At 36.6% G+C, this 26,030-nt stretch overlaps 1 protein-coding gene across 3 annotated transcripts in view; it reads left to right on the forward strand.

The window, feature by feature from the left end:
* Positions 1–26,030, forward strand: part of PLXDC2 (plexin domain containing 2) — a 473,425-nt gene that overhangs the window by 391,914 nt on the left and 55,481 nt on the right. For all 3 annotated transcript variants that reach the window (NM_032812.9, NM_001282736.2, XM_011519750.3), the window contains 3 exons: positions 3,324–3,384; positions 9,081–9,231; positions 10,719–10,757. In NM_032812.9, the coding sequence (NP_116201.7) occupies positions 3,324–3,384; positions 9,081–9,231; positions 10,719–10,757 (251 nt within the window). The remainder of the gene's footprint in view (positions 1–3,323; positions 3,385–9,080; positions 9,232–10,718; positions 10,758–26,030) is intronic.

Raw genomic sequence — 26,030 nt, forward strand, 5'->3', positions numbered from 1 at the left:
AAAGGGGAAACCCCATATAAAGCCATCAGATCTTGTGAGACTTATTTACTACCATGAGAACAGTATGGGGGAAACTGCCCCTATGATTAGATTATCTCCCACTGGGTCCCTCCCACAACACAGGGAAATTATGGGAGCTGAAATTCAAGATGAGATTTGTGTGGGGACACAGCCAAAGTATATCATATATGTTTATATGTTAACATTCAGGGGCAATGTATATCTTTAATTTCAATGGACTGGCAAAAGTAGTTTGAATTTCTCATATGAAAAAGATATTATGTATCAGATATAGTGGATATTATGATCAATATAAGACCCTAGCTTTCAAACGTTCTCAACTAAGTTTGGTAATTAAGACATAAGTATCGGGGGAAATTCAGCCAGATATCGGGTGAAATTCACCCCCGATATTTCATGTAGGTACTTTTATATTTTCCCTAAGTGTTGGCCGGTCTGAGAAATAAAGGGACAGAGTACAAAAGGAGAAATTTTAAAGCTGGGTGTCCGGGGGAGACATCACATGTCGGCAGGTTGCGTGATGCTCCCCAAGCCATAAAACCAGCAAGTTTTTATTAGTGATTTTCAAAAGGGGAGGGAGTGTACGAATAGGGTGTGGGCCACAGAGATCACATGCTTCAGAAGGTAATAGAATATCACAAGGCAAATGGAGGCAGGGTGAGATCACAGGACCACAGGACCACAGGACGGGGGCGAAATTAAAATTGCTAATGAAGTTTCGGGCACGCATTGTCATTGAAAACATCGTATCAGGAAACAGGGTTTGAGAGCAGACAACTAGTCTAATCAAAATTTATTAGGTGGGAATTTCCTCATCCTAATAAGCCTGGGAGTGCTACGGGAGACTGGAGCTTATTTCATCCCTGCAGCTGCAACCTTAGAAGACGGCCGCCCCTGAAGCGGCCATTTCAGAGGCCTACCTTCAGGGACGCATTCTCTTTCAGGGATGTTCCTTGCTGAGGAAAACAATGAGAACCTGTGGACACAGGAAGGGGAGCATCACACACCGGGGCCTGTTGTGGGGTGGGGGAAGAGGGGAGGGATAGCATTAGGAGATATACCTAATGTTAAATGATGAGTTAATGGGTGCAACACACCAACATGGCACATGTAACAAAGTTGCACATTGTGCACATGTACCCTAAAACTTAAAGTATAATAATAAAAAAAAAGAATTCAGTGATATTTCTTTTTGCTTTTGAAAGATATTTGCTTTTGAAAGAAGAGAAATATGGCTGTGTTCCGCCCGGCTCACCAGCAGTCAGAGTTTAAGGTTATCTCTCTTGTTCCCTGAACATTGCTGTTATCCTGTTCTTTTCTCAAGGCGCCCAGATGTCATATTGTTCAAACACACATGCTCTACAATTTGTGCAGTTAATGCAGTCATCACAGGGTCCTGAGGCGACATACATCCTCCTCAGCTTACGAAGATGACAGGATTAAGAGATTAAAGACAGGCATAGGAAATCACAAGGGTATTGACTGGGGAGGTGATAAGTGTCCATGAAATCTTCACAATTTATGTTCAGAGATGGCAGTAAAGACAGGTGTAAGAAATTATAAAAGTATTAATTTGGGGAACTAATAAGTGTCCATGAAATCTTCACAATTCACATTCTTCTGCCATGGCTTCAGCCGGTCCCTCTGTTCAGGGTCCCTGACTTCCCGCAACACATAAGTACATGAGATTTTACATAAAAGAGACAAAAATTAAAGTAAGATGTATTCACAGCAATACAGTAGCCCCCCTTCTCCAAGACCTTTAGTGGATGCCTGAAATCAAGGATAATACCAAACCCTATATATACTATGTTTTCTCCTGTATATACATACCTATGATAAAGTTTAAGTTACAAATTAGACACCATGGAAATTAACAACTAGTAATGAAATACAACAATTATAAGAATATAGTATAATAAAAGTTATATTAATGTGATCTTTTCCTCTCTTTCTTAAAATATCTTATTGTACTGTACTCACCTATTTTCAGACCATAGTTAACCATGGATAACTGAAACCTCCTAAAAGGAGCGACTATGGTAGCAATGCTTTATCAGAATGTGCTCTGGATAGTAATTTCTGGGTCTTAGAAAATTATTGGGCTGTGTAAGAGTACGTAGGGAAGACAGAAAATTATTCCAGTCAAGGAAGACAGTATGAGTGAACAAAGTCTAATTAACACAATGCTTGCTAAATTAGATATTTTAGACATGACCTATTTCTAGTGCAACTGGGTGTCCCCAAGAAGATACTCGGGTTCCATGATTCACTAGAAAGACTCGCAGAACTCAGAAAAGCTGTTATACTCAAGGTTGCCACAGGAAAAAGAGATGAGTTAAAATCAGCAAAGGTGAAATGCACGTAGAGTGGAATCCAGGAGAGACCAGTGCAAGTTGCCAGTTGTCTTCTCCCAGTGGAATTGCACAGATGATACTTAATTTCCCCAATAACAATGTGCAATAATACACAACAAGTACTGCTAATCAAGGAAGCTCACCCAAGCTTGGTCTCCAGGGTTTTTATTAAGGGTTCATTCATCAGGATAGAATGCCCTTGTGACTAATCTTATCTTCCAGTCGTCAGCTCTCCCCAGGGTCAAACTGTTACAGCATGGCCCAGGGTCCCAAGTAAATGAAGTCACATATTCACAATAAATCAAATTGTCAGCATAAACTATCTGCATGGCTCAAGACCCGAGGTAGACACTCTTAATAGGCAGGATAGTCCAGGAGTTTAGAGGTTACTTCTCAAGAGCAAGTCAAGGGCCAGTCTTTTTTTTGGAACATGCAGGGTCTGAAAACCCCACAACTGCCAAGTTAACATTTTACTGCACAAAAGGGAAAGAGTTTGTGTGATGGTGGGTCTTGAATGAATGAGTAAAATGAATGAATGAATGAACCTGAAATCATGAAATACAATATTTGCAAAAAAAGTGTGTATTTATTTGTTTTAATGATGAGAAAAAAAATACAAGGTAAAAGAAAATCCACTTCATAGAAGAGCGATTGGTCTTATCTTTGTGCAGGGATCTAGGTATTCCGTACAGTGCAGTTTGCTTTAACAGTGATTTGGTTGCCATGTGCGATCCTAACAGTGACATCCTAAGGAATGAGTGATTATTTAGCAACCCTCTAAATATTTCCCTGCTTCTCCAGTTGCGAGTTCTATAGAAGAGTTAATGTTATGCTAAACTGAAAATGTGAGAATGAACTACCTACTAATCTTTTACTTTTAATTTCTGTCCACCACCCTGCACCCTATCCTTCCTTTTCTGAACTGCATTGTGGTCTTCTTTGAAGATGTTCCAGTGGATTTGATCGTCATCGGCAGGACTGGGTGGACAGTGGATGCCCTGAAGAGGTACACATGCTTTATTGTGACAGAATCCTGGGACCAAGCTGTCATATACATGTGTTTTAACTGTTAATAATTTTTATTCAAAATTTATGCCCTAAAACTTAATGAAAGGAGAAGAATCCTTCTATAAGCCCAATGTCTGCAAATATTAGGGGTTCGATAACAGCTGGCTATTTTTGTTAAATTAGATAACATTTTCATTACATTGTAGCAACTTGCTACAACCCCTAATAGATGCAGACATGGGGCTTAACTATTTATATGTATTATCTCATTTCATTGTCATATTCATTCTATGAAGAACAGTGCCTGCACTGTCACTACCCCCATATTACCAAGGAGAGAAAGGGGAGGAGTGAGGGGAGCTTGTGGGGAGGGGTGAAGTGTGGGTTCTTGGAGAGTCAGGTAAATGGCTAGGGAATAGTAGGGCCAGGATTGGAATCTGTAGAGGAGTTCTCTTAAATGCTTGCTATTTTTCTAGGATGTACGAAACCATTGTTCCTCTTTGTAATTCAAACAGCAAGACCAGTGGTATTGTGGAGGGTGGAAGACTGCAGCAAATTGATGTGCTGTAATAAATGAGAAATTGTATAACATTAGTTGGCATAGAGAGATGGTATAATGTTAACTCTGAGGGAAACATGATAGAGACAAGGATGCAGTGAAGTCGTGTAAGCAATTGGATACCAGAAACAATTTTAACCCGTTTAAAAGCTTTGCAGTGACTCGCATTTATACTATCATTTCAAGATCATATAAAGATATCCTATAAAGTTTATGAAGAAAAGCATTTACTTCTTCTCCCTTCATTAAGTTTTGGGGTATCAATTTTGAATTAAAACTGCTAACAATTACAAAAGTTTAGCAAAGCAAGCCATGCCAAAATGCTGTTTTAAAAACTATTTGTTCAATGGTTACTTAGAGACTTTTTAAAAATTCATTTTTGGGGGGCATGTTTCATAAAGATCTTGAGCAATACATTTTTAAAAACATTCTTGAACTTTAAATGCAGTATTGCCAGTGTAGCTATAACCAACCTTTTGGCATTTCATTTAGGGAATGACAGCAGTGTGTGCTCATCCGTCTCACCTCACTTATCTAATAACGTAGTTCCAAAGAGTATCTATTGACAAAGCCATAGTTGTGTTTTGAGACAATCATTTCTTTCATATAATCAGTTACCTCAATATAAAATGTTGAAAATGAATATCTCCATATATGTAAAGATTGAGAATGTAATTCAGATGTATATTTTTTCTCCCAAATTTGGTTTATCTTTTCATTTTCTCTATGATTTTATTTCACTAACATTAATTATCAATTTAATCTGTCAAATGTATGAATCTTTTATTTTTATGATGAGTTTTATATGCCTGTGCATCTTCTTTTAGAAGAATTTTCCTACCAAATTCCATCTAGGTGTTATTTTTGTGTATTTTTTTCTGAATATTTTAAAGCTTTGTCTTACACGTCAAAATCTATTCCATTTGGAATTGGTTTTTATGTATTATATAAGGTAGAGATTCAGTTTCGTGGGGTTTTTTTTCTTGATGGATAGCCAAATTTCAAGCACCATTTGTTAACTAATCCTTTCTTTTGGCAATATCTTGCAAAGTCACCTGTTTTATGTATATTTTCTGGGCTCTCCTCTTCTAAAGCTCTGTCAGTACTTAGATCAGTGTCCCACTGTATTAATTTCTATTGTTTTATAAGAAATCTTACTATATACAGGACAAATCTCCTTACTTTTTCTTCTTCACAAGTGTTTGGGTATTTTAGGGCTTTTGTCCTTCATATAAATATTAAACTCACCTTGTCGAGATCTGTAATCCATCTATCAATACATCTTACTAACATTTTATTGGAAATACATTAAATTATGAATTAGATCACATTTCCTAATTACAGAGGCTTTTAAAATTTACCTTTTTTACTATTGACTTCTAGACTAATTGAGTCATCATCAGAGAACATGTTATGATCTTTAAAGTTGATTGGAAATTTTTCATGAACAAGTACATGGGCATTTTGTACAAAGGGTCTATGTGTGTTCAAGAAAAATGTGTGTTTTCCTGTTGGTTGGGTGTCAAGCTTGATAAATGTACTCTTCAGCTATACTTCTCCACTCTCTTTATTTTCACCTTCTGACTTCTTTGAAAGCTTGCCATTTTCATCTTTTCCTCATATTTTTAAACCTCTATTATATGTAATCTCTTTCCTTATTACTCTGTGCTGTATTTGGAGCAATTTCTTCAGATGTATTTACCGGTTTATTAACTCTCCCTTCATCTTGTTTAATATTCTATGTAATCTACTCACTGAAGTAGAAATTCCAACAAACATTTTTCATATCTAAAATTAAATTTGACACTTATTACATCTGCCAAGTATTTTATAGTTTCATGTGAACCGTTCATTTCTCAATTTTATCTTTTATGATTTTAAATATTCCGTGTATGATTTTTGTATATTCCATATTGGATGATCCCATTATCTAAAATTTTGGTGATCTAAATAGTGTGGTCATTGTTTTTGCTGATTCTTTCTCAGACAGCTATTTTTTTTTCTTTTTTAGTGTATATTTGTCTGATCCTATTCTAAGACCTAAATAGGTGATGTTTTCCCCCAAAGAAGATTTGATGATGGGATCCTCAGGATTTTCAGGCTACCATAAGTCTCTGCCCTAATGTGAGGAGGAGAAGTTCAGATTTTTCTCCCCTGTCTACTACTGCTGCAAGGCTTGTTCTCTTTAGAGCGATATTGATTTTGGATTTTTTTCCTCAGGGCAAATTCTGCTTTTTTAACTTCCCTTAATGTATACAGCTCCTACTGTCTTTATAGCACATAGCTTTTGCTTTGTTTTATTTTTTGAGTGGGGAGGGGAATAAACAATGGAAAGGCACCATTGGGATATTCTTTACCTCCTGCAAATCCTAAGGCTTTAAAATTCAAGTTTTATTCAGAATCTACTTGTTTTGTTATAGGAGGGCTATTTAGTTCCTTAGTCTGCCGTTACTGCCAAAAGCAATCTGAGCCTAGGATTTTACCTTAAACGTAGGGTGTTTACTGAACATTATTAGATCCTGTTTACGGAATACTAGGTCCTGTTCATTGACAGTAGAAACACAAAGAGAGAATAATATATGGCAAGTTCCATTCTATACTCCTTGAGTTTGAGATGTGTGTGACATTCACATGCAGACACCTGGTCAATAGATGACTTTTTGGGCCTGAAATCCAAAAGAGGAATGTGGACTGGAAATATAGATTTATGAATAATCAACATAAAGATGTTCATTGCAGTCATGGGTGTAGAAGAGATTGCAAAAGATAATGCATAGAATGAAGTGACAGAGCAAGAATGATCCATAAGAACCACCCCAACACTTAAGGAATTGACATAAATAAAAGGAAATTGAGATGGAGTTGTGAGGGAGGTGTCAGAACATTGAGGAGAGGGTGTGTCACAGAAACCAAGACAGGGGAGTGGACATCTGCACCATAGGCTGATGAGGTGTCAGTAGGACACCATGGAAGATGTTGGATATTTAGCTAAGGAGATATTTAGAAACATTGGTACGAGAAATTTCAACTCAGTTGGATTAGGTAAGAGCAAGATTGTCATAAAAGGGAAAGCTGGGAGTCTGAGAAGACCAAGGCAGACTGATCTCTCTGGAAATATGACTGCGTATGAATGGAGGGAAAGCAGTATAATGTCAGGATGCATTGGGGAGAAGAGGGAGGCAGTCCCTCTTCTGGGACTGCCTCCCTTTGCAAACTGGAATTTGGGTTTGCAAAATAAGATTAGGCATGCTTGTGTACCTTTAAGTGTTGTTGATAAGAAGCCAGCAGAGAATTAGGGGTGGCAAATATTGTAGAGAAAGGACTATGATCACCTAAGCAAATTCACAATACCTGTGAAGGTGGGCTGAGTTGAGCTAGGACATAGGTAGAAATAGGTTGAAAGGATGGCTATAAGGAAAGGTCCCCATCCATTATCACAGAAGGAAAGAATAGGTCAGCCCAGAGTCAAGTAAGTATGCTGATTCACTAAGAAATTTAAAGAAATCTTGCTGATCATGCCTATTTATCAAGGAAATGGAAGGTGAACCCAAGGAGTAAAACCGGGAGAATCATGATGGGATTGCAGTTTTAGGTAAAGTGGAGAGAGCTTGAAATTCATACTGAGCATAATGGGAGAGGTGATTAGCAAGACACAGCAATGCTGCCAAGTGGTATGCACGGCCCTGCTAAGGATGCAGGAGATGTTTGTGGAGCCCCCATGGCGGGTCTGTGTGATTATTCTCCAGCTGTGCCTGGCTTTGGAGCAGGCAGGGAAAAGGCAGATCTTTTCTTTAAAGGTGTTGTAGAAAAAAAAACTAAAAAAAAAAAAAAATAAAAAAATAGAGCAAGATGCTTGAAGCTACTGAAATGAGTGGTTGAAGTAATGGGGGAAAAAGAAACTTAAAAACAAAATCATTTTCTTAGGCTTTCTAAGTAGTCAAAGAATAAGAAGAATTGGAGTTCGCAGGTACAGGGATAGATGGAAAAAGGATAACTGAGCTTATGATTTCAGATCTAAAACATTTTCCACTACAGATATAGTCCAGGGTGTGGGGATGACAACTAAAGTGGTATCTGAAAGGAAATAATTAGATTAATGGGGCTCAGAGGTGCAGGAACTGGAATTTGGGGAATTAAATGAGACCCTAGTATGTTTAGACTTGAAGTGGAGAATAAACCTGTTTCATATCCTATTAATGAAAAGGAGGCTGTCTCAGGAAGTCTGCATTAACAAGGGGAAAGGCACCTAGCGCTCCACTAATGATGAGAGAAGTTTAAGAATGATATTTATTTAACAATAATTTTAAAATGTGGGATGAGAACCACTCATGTCCAGAATAGTTATTTTCTACTCAAGGCCCACCTGAGAGAGGGAGTCCACTGCGGCACAAAAGGTGGATAGAAACACCAACTTCTAAGCTATAAAAGTTTGGATGTTGGAGGTTGTTACCAGTGAAGGTTGTAGGATTTGTTTTCACAAATTAAAAATAAAAAATTCACTATGTCTCATTTCCTGATGTTTTCAATATAGCTCTGCTAAGGAGGAAAATAGGCTGAGTGATTACAAGAGTTCTGTTCAATCCTTTGCTTATGTGGTTTTGAATATTTCATAAAGGAAAACAAAATTTTAGACATTCATTCAACTTGTGACAGATGATTTTTGAAACAATGAAGTAGTATGGGGAAGTTAGCAAATATTTCGGATTTAGCATTGTCAGTTTGATACGAAAGGAATGCACTTTTTCTCCACAAACCTGAGTATGTTTTAAACCTTATCTTTATGCACCTGTTTTTCTTCTAGTATAAATTTTCCCTTTTGACAGTGTGTCTTTTATAAATATACCAATGTAAAATTTAGGGCAAGGTAAACAGTAATATGAAAGCTTAACAGCAGTAAATGATGAAACCTAAATATCTAAAAAGGGAAATGCCTTGTTCCATCCATCTTTTTCTCTTTCCTATTTTATAAACTTCATAAATTAGCAAAATCATTAATATAGTCTTGTACAAAAGTAATTTATTCCTTGTCTTGATATGAGAGGCTTTTGTGCTTTACAGCCCAGCTTCTTTGATGTAAGTTCTAAAAATAGATTTGTGATCACTCCATTTGTTTTCCTTTTCTTTTCTCTTACTAGTCAAAAGAGAAGATGTGTGAGAATACAGAACCAGTGGAAACTTCTTCTCGAACCACCACAACCGTAGGAGCGACAACCACCCAGTTCAGGGTCCTAACTACCACCAGAAGAGCAGTGACTTCTCAGTTTCCCACCAGCCTCCCTACAGAAGGTACCCAAGAGATAGTTTGCTTTTTTTTTTTTTTTTTTTTTTTTTTTTCCCTGAAGGAAGGAAAAATCACTGTGTTGACATGTACTGGAATAGCTCCTACTCTCTAGGTCTCTCTAAAGTTATTCTTTGGCAAACTGGATTTCTAAGGGATTTCCAAAGGGGAAAAAGACAAAATTATTATGAACTAAAAGTAAATGCTGGGATTCTTTTAATGCACTGTGCCTTTTTTTAAGACATAGCTTTTACCATTGATTCTGGCTTCTTGTCCTCTCCTTCCTAGAAAAGAAATACAGATTTCTTCCTGTGTGGCTAAATTTTGTACTAAGCAAATCCAACTTCACAATCACAGGTTAGAAAGGCAAAATGCATATAAAATGTCCGTTGATTCTGGATTCTGAACAATAAATAATTCTATTAATATATAATTCTAATGTTTTCCAGAATGCAGTCAATAAAATATATTGGTCTATAACCTATACAGAAACACTGTATGTGTCATAGAAATTGTCCTTGAAAACAACTATTTCCTCTTCTAAGGTAGGCAGAAATACTAGAGAGTGTTAATGCTTGGGCACAGCTCAGGAGGAAGAAAGTGTATTACCCAACATACGATAATTTTCTATTCTGAATGATACCACCAGGAGGGAGAGGGCAGAAACATAAGACTGGCCACGAATCAGGTTTGAGGGGGATAAATGGGTCTTACTTGTTTATTGTTATAAGCCTCACTTTCTTTGGCTTGAATAAAAAATTAAATATGGAACTTTTAATTGGAATTTAATTTGATATTATAAGGTGAACTGGAATAAAGTGGGGTGGAAAGCAGCTGCTAAGTGCATTTTACTGCTTTTAAAAGCAACATTATCTTTTAATCCATATTATTTTGGATTATTATATTAAAGTCCACGAAAATATTCCTATAATTTAAACCCTACCCTTTAGAGTGAAACATAACCAGTAAAATAAAAAAGCATATCCTACATTTTGTTCAGTCAGGATAAGATCTCTTTATATAGAATTTTGGTCATCTTTTCTAGCAATGGGTAAACATTTAACTTTTGGAGTTAAATTTGTAAATATTGACAAATCTTAACTGTCACAATGAATTTGGATTTTCCTTGATCTTGATTTTTTAAAATGAATAAATAAGGTCATAACTATAGGTTCTAATTACAATAAGTGATTTTAGAGAATTAAAAATAGCTGTATTTTAACTTTTAATTATTACTGCTTACTTTTCTTGTAGAACTTAAGGATCATTCAAGATGTTACCAAAATCTTGACATTACAATCTCTGTAGGAAATTTTAGAACTACATCATGTAAAGCAAGGACTTGCTCTCATTGCACTAGAAATTACCACAATAAATTATCAAAATCTAGTCATGTTCCGACCAAGGCAGTTAGTAGACAATTACTAGTCATAAGATTTATGCTCCTTTGAAATCAATCCTTTTCTGTTATAGTAACTTTGAATTTCTCTTCCAGATGATACCAAGATAGCACTACATCTAAAAGATAATGGAGGTAGGAATTGATACTTTTCTTTCATAAACATCTTTTAAATATGAATTCATTTCATTTATTTTACTATGAGAAAGGCAATACGGGCTTCTAGATAAAAGGTGAGGTTGTGTTTTATTCTCCGTTGGGATTTAACATGGGAAGGAGTCAGTGGGTTGGCTTGAAAGTGAAATGAAATCCTCACCCTTGTGTTTGTGTATAAAACTGTGACACCAATTCCCAATGATAAAGTGGAAAATTCAACCACACATCTTGCTATTCTTTGTTGGTCTAGTCTTTGTTGTATTATAGTGGTGTGTAGTTATCTACACAGCTACAGGTATTGGGTTCAATTGTGTTTCACTAAATTGTCTCCTTGGTCAGCACCTTCTATGCATAAAATTAGAAATACAGCAAGTATGAAAATATATTGTCCTAGGTCTTTTTATCAGCTCTATGAAGCAAAGAACAAAACTTAGATATCTGAAAGAATATCTTGTTGGTAACATACTTAAAGGTTTTCCAAGACAATTTAGAAATATCTATAATGGTACTGGAAAATTTGAGGGAAAAAAGTTTTACTGAAAAAATATTGTGAACGATATTGGCTATGTTTTTAGAAATAGATCTTTTTCCTTTTAAACTATGTTGGCTCATGTATGCTGGGTCTTAATAAAAGAGATTTTCATTAGTAATTGTTTATTCAGCTCAGGGAAAGGGTGTCCTCTTCTTGGCAGCATCTTTATGTAAATGTGAGCACATTGTGACTTTGATCTAGGCATGGTTTTGCCTTTAAAGCCCTAGATGATTTCTTGAGTAAGTCAAAATCCAATATACACATGTTAAGCATGTTTTTCTCTATAATGGTAGAGAATAGTTTCAAAACCCCTCAGCTTAGGTTAAGTAGCTAGTACTTCCATGCCTTTTTAGGCCATTGTTTATATCTATATTTGTCTTTAGAGTTTATATCAATCCATCTGAAAGAGAGAACAGTTAGCCTGTTCATAAATACCATTATTGTATCAATTTCCCATTGTGTTGCATCATTTTGTAGTGTTTTATTTCATTCATTTCTTATTCATCATTGTATTAATGCAGTAAGTGAATAGTTTTAGAAATGATCATCTGCAAAATATATACTAGCTAGAAATATATTAAAATCTTAGGGCATAAAGGGACTTTAGCAATCCTTCAATTAAGAATTTCCCAGAGGAGGATGTTAGTAGCATATGGACATAAGCCCTATGTTGGGGTTACCTCATTTTGAGGGAAGAGATGGGGTATAAAGTTAATGGAATGGGGGAAGAGTCCCCAAGAGACTTCTCTTTTACTTGTTACCTTTAAATCTTAATATGGGTGGTCATTATATGTATATTTATTAGATTTTTTTCTATGCTTTCTCTCTCCTTCCTTTCTTTACTTCCTTCCCTTCCTTTCCTTCTTTCTTTATTTTGTTTATCTAAAATATTCTATCCTGCTAATAGGAAAAAACAAACAAAGGATTCTTGTGATCGAATAAGTGTGAGAGACTCTGGAAAAAAAAGTTAAAGAAATTTCCCTGCTGGAAAACTGATAATTCATTCATTCATTGATTTCTGCTCAATGCTTGCTAATTGCCAAGCATTGTTGCTGGCTTGGGGCTACAGAAGTGAACAAGGCTTAGACAAATCTCTGCTTTGAGAGAACATGCATCCTGAGTAATCTTCAAGACGGTTATGAAGAATTCATACTGGCATGTCTCCACTCCTTGCTCTTAACACTTTTTTTTTTTTTTTTTTTTGAGACCGAGTTTCACTTGTTGTTGCCCAGGCTGGAGTGTAGTGGCACAATCTCAGCTCACTGCAACCTCCGTCTCCTGGGTTCAAGCAATTCTCCTATCTCAACCTCCTGAGCAGCTGGGATTACAGGCACCCACCACTACGCCTGGCTAATTTTTGTATTTTTAATAGAGACGGGGTTTCATCATGTTGGCCAGGCTGGTCTTGAACTCCTGACCTCAGGTGATCCACCCGTCTCGACCTCCCAAAGTGCTGGGATTACAAGCGTGAGCCACCACGCACGGCCAACACTTTTTTTATGAGTAGTATGTCATGCACTTAATGTTTTATGGAATATACTTTGATAAAGAGTTTTCTAGAACATTACCATTTATCCCAATGAAAATACTTAGTTTTGTTTGAGCCATCAAAGAATCATAAAACTTCGAAGATTTTCTTAAAGCAGTGCCTTATGATGCTAAGAAATTGTTAAGTAAATCCTACGATTTAAGCATAGGATTTTTGGTATACTAGAGAGTCAACTGTTGGATTCTCAGATGATATTTACATAATTGATATGCAGCAGGCATTCATGAGAATTCCAAAATATCACAATTAGACTTCAGACTCTTCTTATATCTATGGTTGTTAACAAAGCACTTTTCCTGAAAACATTCAAGTGCAGTTAGAACAGACCAGCCTGACTAGTGTTAAGATAAACGGTTCTTCAAAAGGGTACTTAAGGGAAATCACACATTGCTTTTTATAGCATCCTGACTAAGTTAGTGTGCTATTGTTTTTTATTTTATGGAATGTGGAGATGCAGGAAGGATTACCAATTTAAATCTAACTTCATTATTTAATTAAGCATATTGAAAACATTTCAGAATTGTCCTTTCACTCCAATTTAATAAACATTTCTGCAAGATTGAGGTAATAATGAATAAGTGTGCCTAATTTAATATTTTCTGACATTTACTGAGGTTGATTTTTAAAAACATGCAAGCTAATACATTTTTGTAAATTTCTCTGTATTGTTGCAAAGAATTTCAGCACATTTGATTTCTTGATTTAATTTATTTAATTGGACCGCTGTTTTTTAAAATAAGTTTTATTATGTATATTTGAGGTTTACAACATGAATTTATGGGACTACATATAGAAAATACCATTGTTACAGTAATAAAGCAGATTGACAGGTCTGTCATCTCACATAGTTACTTTTTGGTGACTAATTGGCTGTTCTTAAAAGCATTTTTATTTAGGGGCCTGTACTTTTCTGGAAAAAGGGTAACATTTTTCAAAGTAGTCAGTAAGTAGCTAGAAACAAATGACTGCCTTTCCCTACATTGTCTTTCTTGGTTATTGCATTACTTTCTCTCTGAGTGTTTCTGGGTCGTTTCCATGGGTTAAAATAGTTGATTTTCTTAATGGGATCCACTGCTGACATGATTATACATTCAGTTTCCAGGAGATTTTTCTTTCATCTTTGATATGTAAGCATTAAATACTTCTGAGCAGCTGGACACCTAAGTCACACAACAGGGTTTCTCATTGAGAGGACCCAGAGTTACAATCTGCTAAGTCACTCTTGATGAATCTTCAATTGTGCAGTGAGTTTCCTGATACATTTATATTAGGTCCAGTTAGAGCCTCTTAAAGTTTCAGGATAGTTGTTTGATTGGAGAAGTTTTATTAGTCTTCAGGGTTGAGTGGAAATTCTAAGCTCTCTAAATAATCTGGAAAAAGGAACATGAAAAATTGAAACAAAAGAGAAAGATACCTAATAAATTCAGGTCTCTTTAGTAAGATAGAGCTTTGATTGACCATTGAAATGGCTGGTTCTAAAAACGCAGATGATCCATTGCAGAGCCAGGTGTGGTGGCATGGGCCTGTAGTCCCAGCTACTCAGGAGGCTGAGGCAGGAGGATTGTATGAGCCCAGGAGCTCAAGGCCAAACTGGGCAACATAGCAAGACCCTGTCCTTAAAAAAAAATTAAATAAAAAAATTAAAAAGAAGATCTTATGTAAAGACATCATTTTATCTCCAACTGAAATATTTCTAGTTACATGTGTAATATTAAGTTTAGAGTAATACGTAGGTATAATCAGATAGTTTATCTGTCTCTTGTTTATGTGAAAGAAGAGGAGGAAGAAGAGGAGAAGGGACAGGAAAGAGAAAGGAAGAAAAAGTGGCAGAAGAAGAGGAGAGAGGAAGAATGTTTATTGAATTGAATGGTTGCTGTGTCCCAAACACCATTCTAAATGCTACACCTAAATTAACTCTTTTACTTCACACAACATCCCTGACTTGGTCTATTATTATTTATTCTTTATAGACAAGGAAACAGAGGTACAAAAATGTTAAGTTATGTAGCTAGCACATGGCAGAGCTGGGATGTGAATCTATTTAGCCTTGATGCAAATTCCAAGTCTTTAACAACATCATGGTAGTCCTTCTCTTTCACAGAATTGAATTTTTTTTTTTTTTTTTTGAGATGGAGTCTCGCACTGTCCCCCCGGCTGGAGTGCAGTGACGCGAACTTGGCTCACTGCAGCCTCTGCCTCCTGGGTTCAAGCGATTCTCCTGCCTCAGCCTCCCGAGTAGCTGGGACTACAGGTGTGTGCCACTACACCCGGCTAATTTTGTATTTTTAGTAGAGACAGGGTTTCCACCATGTTGGCCAGGCTGGTCTTGAACTCCTGACCTCAGGTGATCCACCTGCCTTGGCCTCCCAAAGTGCTGGGATTACGGGTGTAAGCCATCCTGCCCAGCCTAGATCTCTTACAATCAACCTTCCCATGGGAAATGCCACAATAAGCTATTTTACTTTTACCTACTATAGTTCACCTTTTCTATAACAACTGATTATACTTAAAGTATTTGAAAGTGAAATTTCCCTTTCTCATGTAATTGTGTATTCATTTCCATTTAATCCTTTCTGTGAAAATCACAACGCATTAATTCTCTTGTGTGTTTCAGTGTTGTCAGAATCCTTGTCATGTGATCTTTAAGTTACAGCTCTATGCTCTAGTTTATGTTCAAAATCTGATTTAAGATTCTTTAAGCCTTCTTGGTTTCTCTAGAAATGTGGATTTAATTCACCTGTAAGAGGTACCTAAAATCCTAGAATGTATTTTTTTTTTTTTTTTTTTTGAGATAGGGTCTCACTTTGTCCCCCAGGCTGGAGTGCAGTGGTGCAATCTTGGCTCACTGCAACCTCCACCTTTTGGTTCAAGCGATTCACCTGTCTCAGCCTCCCAAGTAGCTGGGATTACAGGCACATGCCACCATGCCCGGCTAATTTTTGTATTTTTAGTAGAAATGGGATTACGCCATGTTGGCCAGGCTGATCTCAAACTCTTGACCTCGGGTGATCCACCCATCTCGGCCTCCCAAAGTGATGGGATTACAGGTGTGAGCCACTGCACCCGGCTGTATTTTTCAAATGTCTGTATTTCTTTGAGTAATGGTTATATGCATTTACAACATTTTCTTTTGGAAATGCATTTATATGCATTTATAACATTTCTTTTGGATTTTCAAATCCTAGAAGTAGCTGACTAGAAGAGTTATATTTTTAAAAAAATGACCTAGCTATATATTTTAGCAGGTACAACTATTAAATGTCTTCTTTGACATTTGATTAGGTTGCTTCCAAGTGGCATTCACTTCCTAAATAGAAATGTAGATGTCTTCAAAATGCAAACTGGATAAAGTTATACCCAGGGCTGAGAAGACATTTGCAAGTTGAATCAATGGCAGGATTTTTAATTGAAAACTAAAGTCTTCAACCAGATTCAACTCAGTCTAGCAAATTGAATTGTGCCACTCTGCTACACTGCAGATGTTAAAATTATTTCAAGCTCTGAAATTCTGATTTGATTTCATTATTCAAAATTGGTTAACTGAGATTTATCAAAATACCAAAAACTGCATTATCTCTTGGTTCATTTAAAGTTTCTTCTCTTTGATCGAGTTAAGGTTTGCTTAAAAAATATTTAAATATAAGTTCTTAATTGTTGATAATATTTAAAGTATCAGCACTCCAGGTGACAGCATTTTTATCATTTCTTCTTATTGCTGCGAAGTTTATGAACCTGAACTCTGAAAGGCTGCATTTTTAAGTCAGAGAATGGTGTCCCCATCAAGGAGATACCAAAGTTGATATGTTAAGCAGTTTGAAGATCATGTTTAAGTTAATACAGAGGTACAAATCTGCAAAGTGATTGATTTCTAAGAATTAAAACAGATATACTTTGAATGAAGTCCTATGGAATGGCTGGTCTAAATTCTATTTCTGTTGCATTTAGCTTTCTATTTCTGAAGATATCATAAGAATTTTCATCCCGAGATAAAATTTTAGAACATTATTCTGCCTTTTTCCTGGAATACTTCTAAGCTTATATTTTTATTACCAAGTCTGTAGTGATAGATCAAGTGTCTAGTCATTTGTCATTCAGTCAAATTATTTTTTGACTTTCATACATAAATCATCAAAGCAACATATCTTTCCCTTTTTTTCTACTTTTTGTTGATTTTTTTTGTACACTTCTTTTGTGTAGATCATAGTCCTATGAGCAAAGGGAAACTGTTATTTCATTTTAACAGGCTATTGAATATCTATCACTTTCTGTTTTTAAAACTGTAAAACATCTTGACATTTAGTTTTATGTTTGGTTTGTTTGACTACTTTTCATGACAGCACTAACCCTATTCTAAGTATATATGTATCATCATACTGAAAAGTTCTTCTACTTTACAATGTTAATTTGAGATTTCCCTGGAATTTAGGATTTCTCTCCCAAACTTTTATCTAGAGCTGTGGTTCTTAACTTTTTCTGTACATTTAAATCCCCTGGTTCCAGTCTGAGATGTAATTGTTATTTTATTATTCCAACTTACAAAATTTCTACACTCAAACTATTCTCCATAACAATTAAATATTAGCCTCTAGGGCTGGAACCTGAGCACCAATTTTTTTTTAATTCCCAGATTATTCCAGTGTTAAGTTGATAATAAATGGTCTGATTCAATGCATAAATATTAAGAACCCTCAGAATCACTGTGGGTGGAGATTCTTGTTAAAATGCATATGCTGATATGGTAGTTCTGGGGTGAAGCCCAAACCTTTGCATTACATTTTTTACAAGCACTTTGATAATGCAGTTGCCACCAAGCCACAGACCACACTTGGAGTATCAAGAGTTGAATGGATATTTGACCAAAAGAAGAATAACGTATTTTACTCTGAAACTACCTATTGGTCCATTGGTCCTCACCTATACTTCCTGGCTTTCCTGAAACAGTATTTTAATTGGTGGCAACAAGAAATTATTTCTTTCTACATGTAGAAACTACATCTTACTCTGCCGGGGAAAGGAATCCAAAAGCATTATATCCATTATACCTCCTAACTCATGTTAATATAGTAAGTGAAAATGAGTCCATTTAAGCCAAGCTTGTCCAACCCTCAGCAGCTATTGTTGGTGTTAGTGTATTTTATGTGTGGTCCAACACAATTCTTCTTTTTCCAGTGTGGCCCAGGGAGGCCAAAATATTGGACACCCCTGATTTAAGCTGTTGACAAATGTATTTGTTTTGGTAAAGGTAGTTAGTTACATTTTCTGTATTTTGTTGAACCATATGAAATTGCTGATTTTTACAAAACACTTTTGACCCAGAAAGGTTGCAATTTCGTTGTTCAGCCTAATAGTTTTACAAATTGTTGTCCAGCATAGGAAAATAAAAGAAAAAGAAAAATCACATCAGGATATACTTTTTCCCCTGTAGGTTAATTTGTAGATAGAATGTGTAGTTAGAGTTTATGCTGCCGATAGGACACAGAACGAGATGATATAGCAGAGTGCCTCTTAGGAAATGCACACAGATGGCTTCCACAAAGTAGCTCTAAATGCACTTTCCATTTGCCATCAGCAAAATAATTGACCACCTCCCTTTGGTGGATACCTACTTTCCTTTCAGTGTCCGCCTCCTGTCTCATTTTCTACCTGCCCTGTTCCTATCAGAAACCCGGACCAGGGAACCTTCTACTGGAGGAAAGAAACTTCCATATACCATTAGATTTTGGAATCTGAGATATATGAGGGGCCCCAGGAACAGGTTTTGTGTTACCCAATATTTCCAATGCCCCTTCTCGGTGTGTTCTACATGTGTAAAGTGATTATTCTTTTTTAAACGTGAAATGTCTAGTTATTGTAGTAGATGGCCCTATACCACTAAAATATGTATGTCACTAAAACATCAATTAACTTTGATGCTGAATTGATTTGACTTGGTTTGATTTGCTCGGGAAACATTTCTTCAACTATTGTGTACCAGGCCCATTGTTAGGTGATGCAGATGCAAAGATCTACATGGTCTGATGCCTGTCCTAAAGAAGCAAGTGGCCTAAGGGGATGACATAGAGAAGTAAATTGATATTTACGTATAGTGTGAAGAGTGCAAAGATAGAGTCAAGAAAAACTATATAAGAACAGAGAAGGGGTATCTAAACAAAAATGAAATTACAAGAATAGGTGATACTTGATCCAAGTTTTGAAGTATGGGCAGGATTTCTGAGGAAAGGGAGAGAAGAAAAGAATTTCAGGAAGGGGATTGACATAGAAAGAGGTTCAGAAGCATGAAACATCAAGATCTGGTTGGATAACTCTAAAGAGCTGCCAGATTTGATTTTCCTGGGGTAAAGTTATATACATAGTGCTTTAAGGCTGGTGAGGCTGAGAAGGTGGGCTTGTTTCTCAACCTCACCAGCCATAAAGTATCAGAATAAGTGGAGTGTCAGCATTCATAGTCTTTTACGCCAGGCAATGGGGTTTGAACTTTAACCTAGAGATCTTGGGAACCGTTTGTGTCATTTTGACAAGGGAGTGTCAGGACACATTTTACATGTTTAGTAGTTGACCCTTGAAGTATTGCAGGGAACAGGAGGGACAGGAGTAAGACTGAGAGGCCAGAAAATCTAGTTAGGAGGTTATACTAGTAATCCATAGAAGCAATGGTCAGAGGCTAAAAAAAAGTAGTAGTTGACCATGGGAATAAAAAAAGAGAATGCACAAGAGAAGTATTTACTAATGAAGTAGAAGCTACATGAGCTAATATTTGATTGGATGTGTGATTTACGTCATAGGAAAGTGACGAAGGTGGTTCCCAGGACATGGGCGTAAGTTATCTGGGTGGACAGTGGTGCCATTGAATAGGAAATACAGGAAGAGAAAGGGGGTAAGCAGTGAATTTAATTTGAGCATGTTGATGTTGATATCTAAATGAAAATGTCAGTAGGCATTTTTCTATATAAGCCTGAAATTAACTTGAGAAATATAACCATAAGATACAAATTTAGGCATCAGCAGCGTATAAATGACAGTTGAAGTTAAGGAGATGAATTAGGTATGGGAAGATAGTATAAAGATGAAAAGAGTGACTAGGCACGGTGGCTCACGCCTGTAATCCCAGCACTTTGGGAGGCTGAGCTGGGTGGATCACCTGAGCCCAGGAGCTTGAGACTAGCCTGGGCAACACAGGGAAACCCTGTCTCTACAAAAAAATACATAAATTAGCAAGACATGGTGGCACACACCTGTAGTCCTAACTACTGGGGAGGCTGAGGTGGGAGGATTGCTTGAGACTGGGAGGTCAAGGCTGCAGTGAGCCATGATTGCACCACTGCACTCCAGCCTAGGTGACAGTGAGTCTTCAAAAAAAAATTAAAAAATAAGAAAAAAGGCAGGAAGGCAGGAAGGAAGGAAGGAAGGAGGAAAGAAGGAAGGAAGGGCGGAAGGGAGGGAGGAAACAAGGAAGGAAAGAAGGAAGCAGGAAGGAAGGAAGGAAGGGAGGGAGGGCCAAAGACTAGAGAGGGAATACAGGATTTAAAGTCCTGTGAATAAAATCAAGAGTGTCATAGAGACAGCAAGAAAACAGAAAAGTTTGGTATCACAGAAACCAAAAGAGAATAAAATTTCAAGGAGGAAGTAGTGAACAGTGTCAATGCTGCAGACAAGTCAAGTTAAAAAAAACACACACAGAAAAGTGACCATGAGAGTTGGTGGCATAAAGACATTTGTTGATCTTGACTGGATTGCATAACAGTCCACCATTGTACAATCTCCAGGCAGAATTTGAGGATTCTGTGGACAGTGAGGAAATTGGAGTCCACAAGGACAGACTGCTTTTTCAAGAAAAATGGAAGAAGGGAAGTAGAGATTCTTAATGCTGTTGTTTACCTGTCACAGGTGCTGAGGAGAAAGACCCCATAAGAAGAAAAAGAGTCAAAAGATGACTGGGAGTGAAGTGATATATCCACAAGCATGGGTGGAGCCAATCAGCATGAATGAGGGAAGGGAGACAGGAGGGAGAAATTGAGGGGGTTTCATCTAAGATTGCTCTTTTCTCCATATAGTAAGACACAAGTAATATGGTGAGAGTGAGTGGGAAGAGGGCAGAGGTCATGGTGTTTAGGAGTTGAAAGACCCATAAAACATGAAACAGGAATGGGAAGGAAGCCAACTGCTGATGTGTAAAAGGCCCATCAGGTTGTGTTTGCAGCCTCCTAAACTTGGTAGCATTCCTTGAGGTTGTATGATTTCAACACTGAATTTTGTTCACGTGTGCTTGAATTAGCCATGCGTATTACTCACGTAATATGCTGATCCACTTTAAGCAAAAAAAAAAAAAAAAAAAAGGAATTGATGTTGATGGTTGATGGAGAGAAAAGATATGCTAGTCTCAAAATGGCATAATGCTTTAAAGAGAGTAGTTTAATCCATTAGATGGTAAATTTAGTTAATCTTCTTCGAAACAGCTAGGTTTTCAATGGTTTGCTCCTCCCGTTAAGACTAATTTTTGCTTTAGTTTTATTCTTCAGAGCTCGAATTATTATTTGTGCAAGATTTTTAATGTAACTTGAGTACTAAGGACAGCAGTTAATTATCTGAAACTAATTTGTAACAGTTTTGTAAGCTACTGTGACCGAATGTTATTTCAGTTACAGTAATAAATTAACAACTTGTTGGATAAAGTGTCAGCCATAAGTGATTTTTAACACAGTTAACATACTCACCAGCCACTAAAGAAAAAAAATGCAAAAACATACAGCTCAAAATTCATTGGAGGAATTTAAATGGAATTCTAAGAAATATTTGTTTAACCTGAAAAAGACAAGAAAGAAGGAACAAAGGACCATATAACAGATGAACACAAAGAAAATGAATAGCTAAATGGCAGACCAAATACAAACATACTAGTAACTATTTCAAATGTAAATAAAATAAACACTTTCATTAAAAGCATAGGCTATCACACTGACTTTTAAGAAAGCCAGATCCAACTCTATGCTGTGTATAAGAAATGTATGTGAAAAATAAAGACAAAGATATAAAATACTTCAAGGTAAAATTATAGAAAAATATGTACACTGCAAATATAACCACAGAAAAGCTGGAATGCCTATATAAATATCAAATTAAGTAGGCTTAAATTAGATTTAAAGACAAGGAGAATTAACAGAGGAAAATATGAAAAGGAAAAAAAGGTGCCAGGCATAGTGTCTCATGCTTGTAATCCCAGCAATCTGCGGGGCCGAGGAGGGCAGATTGTTTGGTCCCAGGAGTTTGAGACCAGCCTGGGCACCATGGTGAAACCCCATCTCTACTAAAAATACAAAAAAATTAGCCGAGCATGGTGGCGTGCACTTGTAGTCCCAGCTACATGGGAGGCTGAGGTGGGAGGATCTCCTGAGCCCAGGAGGTCCAGGCTGCAGTGAGTCATGGTCACACCAGTTCACACCATGGTGAGCGCATGGTCACACCAGCCTGGGCTACAGAGTGAGACCTTGTCTCAAAAAAAAAAAAAAAAAAAAACAGGAAAACAGTGTCATTTCATTAGGAACCATTATAATTTTTTTAAGTTAGACAAAAAAAAAAAATTAAGAAGGATATATATTTGAACAATACTGACAACCACTTTGTCATAATCCAGCAGTGTCCCTGGAGGGTTTTTTTTTTCAAGTTCACATGAAACGGTCACCAAAGTAGACCATATGTTGAGTCATAAAAAATATTAAATTTCTAGATTGTGGTCTTATAGACTACACTCTTTGACTGCAAAAGAATCAAACGAGAAGCAGTAACAATATAATGTCTATTGATAAGAAAGTAGATCTTAAATGTTCTCACCACACACAAAAATGATAAGTATATGAGGTGAATAGATATGTTAATTACCTTGGTTTAATCATTCCACAATGTATATATATAACAAAAAAGTATATTGTGTGCTGTAAATATATACAATTTTTATTTGTCAATTATGCTTAATGAAGTTGGGAGAACAATATATCTACAAAATCCTCAAATATGTGAAATGCAAATCAAACTTCTAATATATATATAAATATATATGAATATTGACAAATATATACAAATATATATAAATGTTTGATATATATAAAATATGTATTGAAGAAAAGTACTATAAGAAAAATTACAAAATATTTTGATGGAATGATAACTGATACAAAATACCAAAATTTGTAGAATGCTGCTAAAAAGTATTTAGAAGGAAATTTATAGTTTTAAATGTTTATACTAGAAAGGATTAGAAAGGAAAAAAGGTTTAAAATTAAAAACTCATGTGTTCAATTTAAGTAGATAAGCCAATTAAGATTATCTCAAAATAATTGTGCCTAAAATTACAATTTTATTAAAAATATTAATTTTAAAAGAAGGAAATAAGAGTAGAAAAATAAAATAGAAAACAGACAAATAACAGAGAATATTAACACAGTCATAAGCTTTTTTTTTGAAAATTTTAATAAATTTAATATCTCTAAGAAGATGGATTTTTTTAAAAATTATAAACATCAAAATTCAAAGCCTGGAGCTGGGCACAGTGGCTCATGCCTGTAATCCTAGCGCTTTGGGAGACCAAGGCAGGAGGAGCACTTGAGCCCAGGAGTTGGAGACCAGACTGGCTAACATAGCGAGACTCTGTCTCTACAAAAAAATTAAAAAATTAACCAGACATAATGGCATACGCCTGTAGTCCCAGCTATGTGGGAGGCCCAAGTCAGGGGGATCACTTGAGCCTGGGAGACTGACTTGATCACCTCACTCCAGCTCCAACCTGGGTGACAGAACAGGACCCTATCTCAAAAAAAAAAAAATTAAATTCTGTGTTCATCAAAAACTCTGTTAGGAAAATGAAAAGGCAGGTTACAGATAAGAGAATATATTTACAGTATGCTTATATTACAAAGGACTTGTATCCAGAAAATATAAATAACTCCTATAAAGTAACAATAAACCAAAACATGAATGGGATACCATATCATGCCCATTAGGATAGCTAAACACTACACAACACTAATATTGATGAGGATATGGTGCACTTGAACTCTATACATTTCTGATTGGAGTGTGATGTTGTGCAATCACTTCAGAAAACTCTTTGGCAGTTTCTTATAAAGTTCTGTCCTTTTAAGCCAGGAATTCCACTTCTATGTATTTATTTTAAAAAGAAAACATGTCCACACACACACACACACGCACACACAGACACACAAAACTTGTAAGAGAATATTCATAGCAACATAATTCATAATTGTCAATAACTAGAAATAGTCCAGATGTTCATCAACAGAAGAATAAACAAATTGAGTGCATGTTACACAAGGGGTTACTACTCAGCAGAAAAAAAATATGAACTACTGATACATGCAATAAAACAGATGCGTCCTAAAACATTGTTAAGCAAAAGATGCCAGACACAGTGGAGTACATGTAGTATGATTCAATTTATGTGAATTTCAAGTAAAATCAAGCTAATCTACAATAATGGAAATCAGCACAGTGGTTGCCTATGCGGTGTTGGTCGGGGCTGTTAGGATGACTGTAGGTGGAGACAAGAGAACTTTATGGGGGAATGGAAGTGTTTCATATGATTTGGGTGATGGTTACTTGGTATATACAGTTATAAAAATTTGGCAAATTGTACATTTAAAATTCCTGCATTTCAAATATGCAAATTTGGCCTCTGTAAAAGTAAAAAAAGAAGAAAGAAAAGAAGCATTTTGATATGTTTTCATAAACTAGGCATAGTTTTTTTTTAAATTCCTGTGAATAAATTCTTCCAGGCTTCTTAAAATTCTCAAGTAAAGCCAAATGATAATAATAAAAAGCTTATCCTTGGTGAACCAGCATCTCTAATTAGAAGGCATAAAATTTAACATTTCTGATCATGTGATTCATGTTTTGCTTCCCATGTAGTTGATGCGAGTTGTATAGTTGCACGAGTTGTATAGTTGCAAGGGCTTTGGTCTTAAAGTGTTGGGGGATGGGATTCAAGAAGAAGTTAAGGTTCCCTTGGGCTTTAAAACTCTGTGATTTGCTGGCCGGGCACGGTGGCTCACATCTGCAATCCCAGCACTTAGTGAAGCTGAGGCGAGAGGATCAGTTGAGGCCAGGAGTTTGAGACCAGCCTGGGCAACATAGTGAGATCCCATCTCTACAAAAATTTAAAAAAAGTAGGTGGGCATGGGGGTGCACAACTTCCCATGTAGTTGATAATAATGATAAAATTATCTAGCAATTATTGGGCTATTAACAATATACCAGGCAGTCTTCTGAGGGCTTTGCATGTTTAACTCATTTAATCCTCACAGCACCCTAAGAAGAAAGTACTATTTGTAATCCCATTTTACACTTGAAGTCTCAGAAGCTCAGGGATTTAAGTAATTTGTTCATAGTCACATGGTTTCTAAGGAATGTAGCTGGTCTATAGCACCAAGGGCTCTGATTTCCAGGCATGCTGTGTGCTCTTTATCACCCTGCTGTCCTGCCAGGAGGGTTGCTTCTAATATGGTCCAGTAGAGTATATAGTCACTTGTTTGCTCTTCTCCTATTAAAGCCATCCAGTGTCTCAAAAAAAATAGCAGCACCAACTTTGCCTAATCATAGAGTTATTTTTATTTATTTTTTTTAGAGGCAGGCATGGTCTAACTCTGTCACCCAGGCTAGAGTGCAGTGGTGCAATCATGGCTGACTTCAGCCTGGAACTCTTGGGCTCAAGCAATCCTCCCACTTCAGCCTTCTGAGTAGCTGGGACTACAGTTATGCATCCCCATGCCCACCTACTTTTTTTTTTTTTATTTTTTGTAGAGATGCTATCTCACTATGTTGCCCAGGCTGGTCTCAAACTCCTGGCCTCAACTGATCCTCTCGCCTCAGCTTCACTAAGTGCTGGGATTGCAGATGTGAGCCACCGTGCCCGGCCAGCAAATCACAGAGTTTTAAAGTCCAAGGGAACCTTAACTTCTTCTTGAATCCCATCCCCCAACACTTTAAGACCAAAGCCCTTGCAACTATACAACTCGTGGAAGTGTCATATGCCCACACAGCAGAGTCTGTTTGCAAAGATGGTTTGGTGGAACAGGTCAGGTCAGGACCAGTGCGCACTCCCTCAACTAAACGTGTTCTGTTCCACATTCAAGACATACAGCTTTATATTTCAGGAGACTTGGTG

Source organism: Homo sapiens, chromosome 10 (assembly GCF_000001405.40).
Source record: "Homo sapiens chromosome 10, GRCh38.p14 Primary Assembly".
Lineage (NCBI taxonomy): Eukaryota > Metazoa > Chordata > Mammalia > Primates > Hominidae > Homo > Homo sapiens.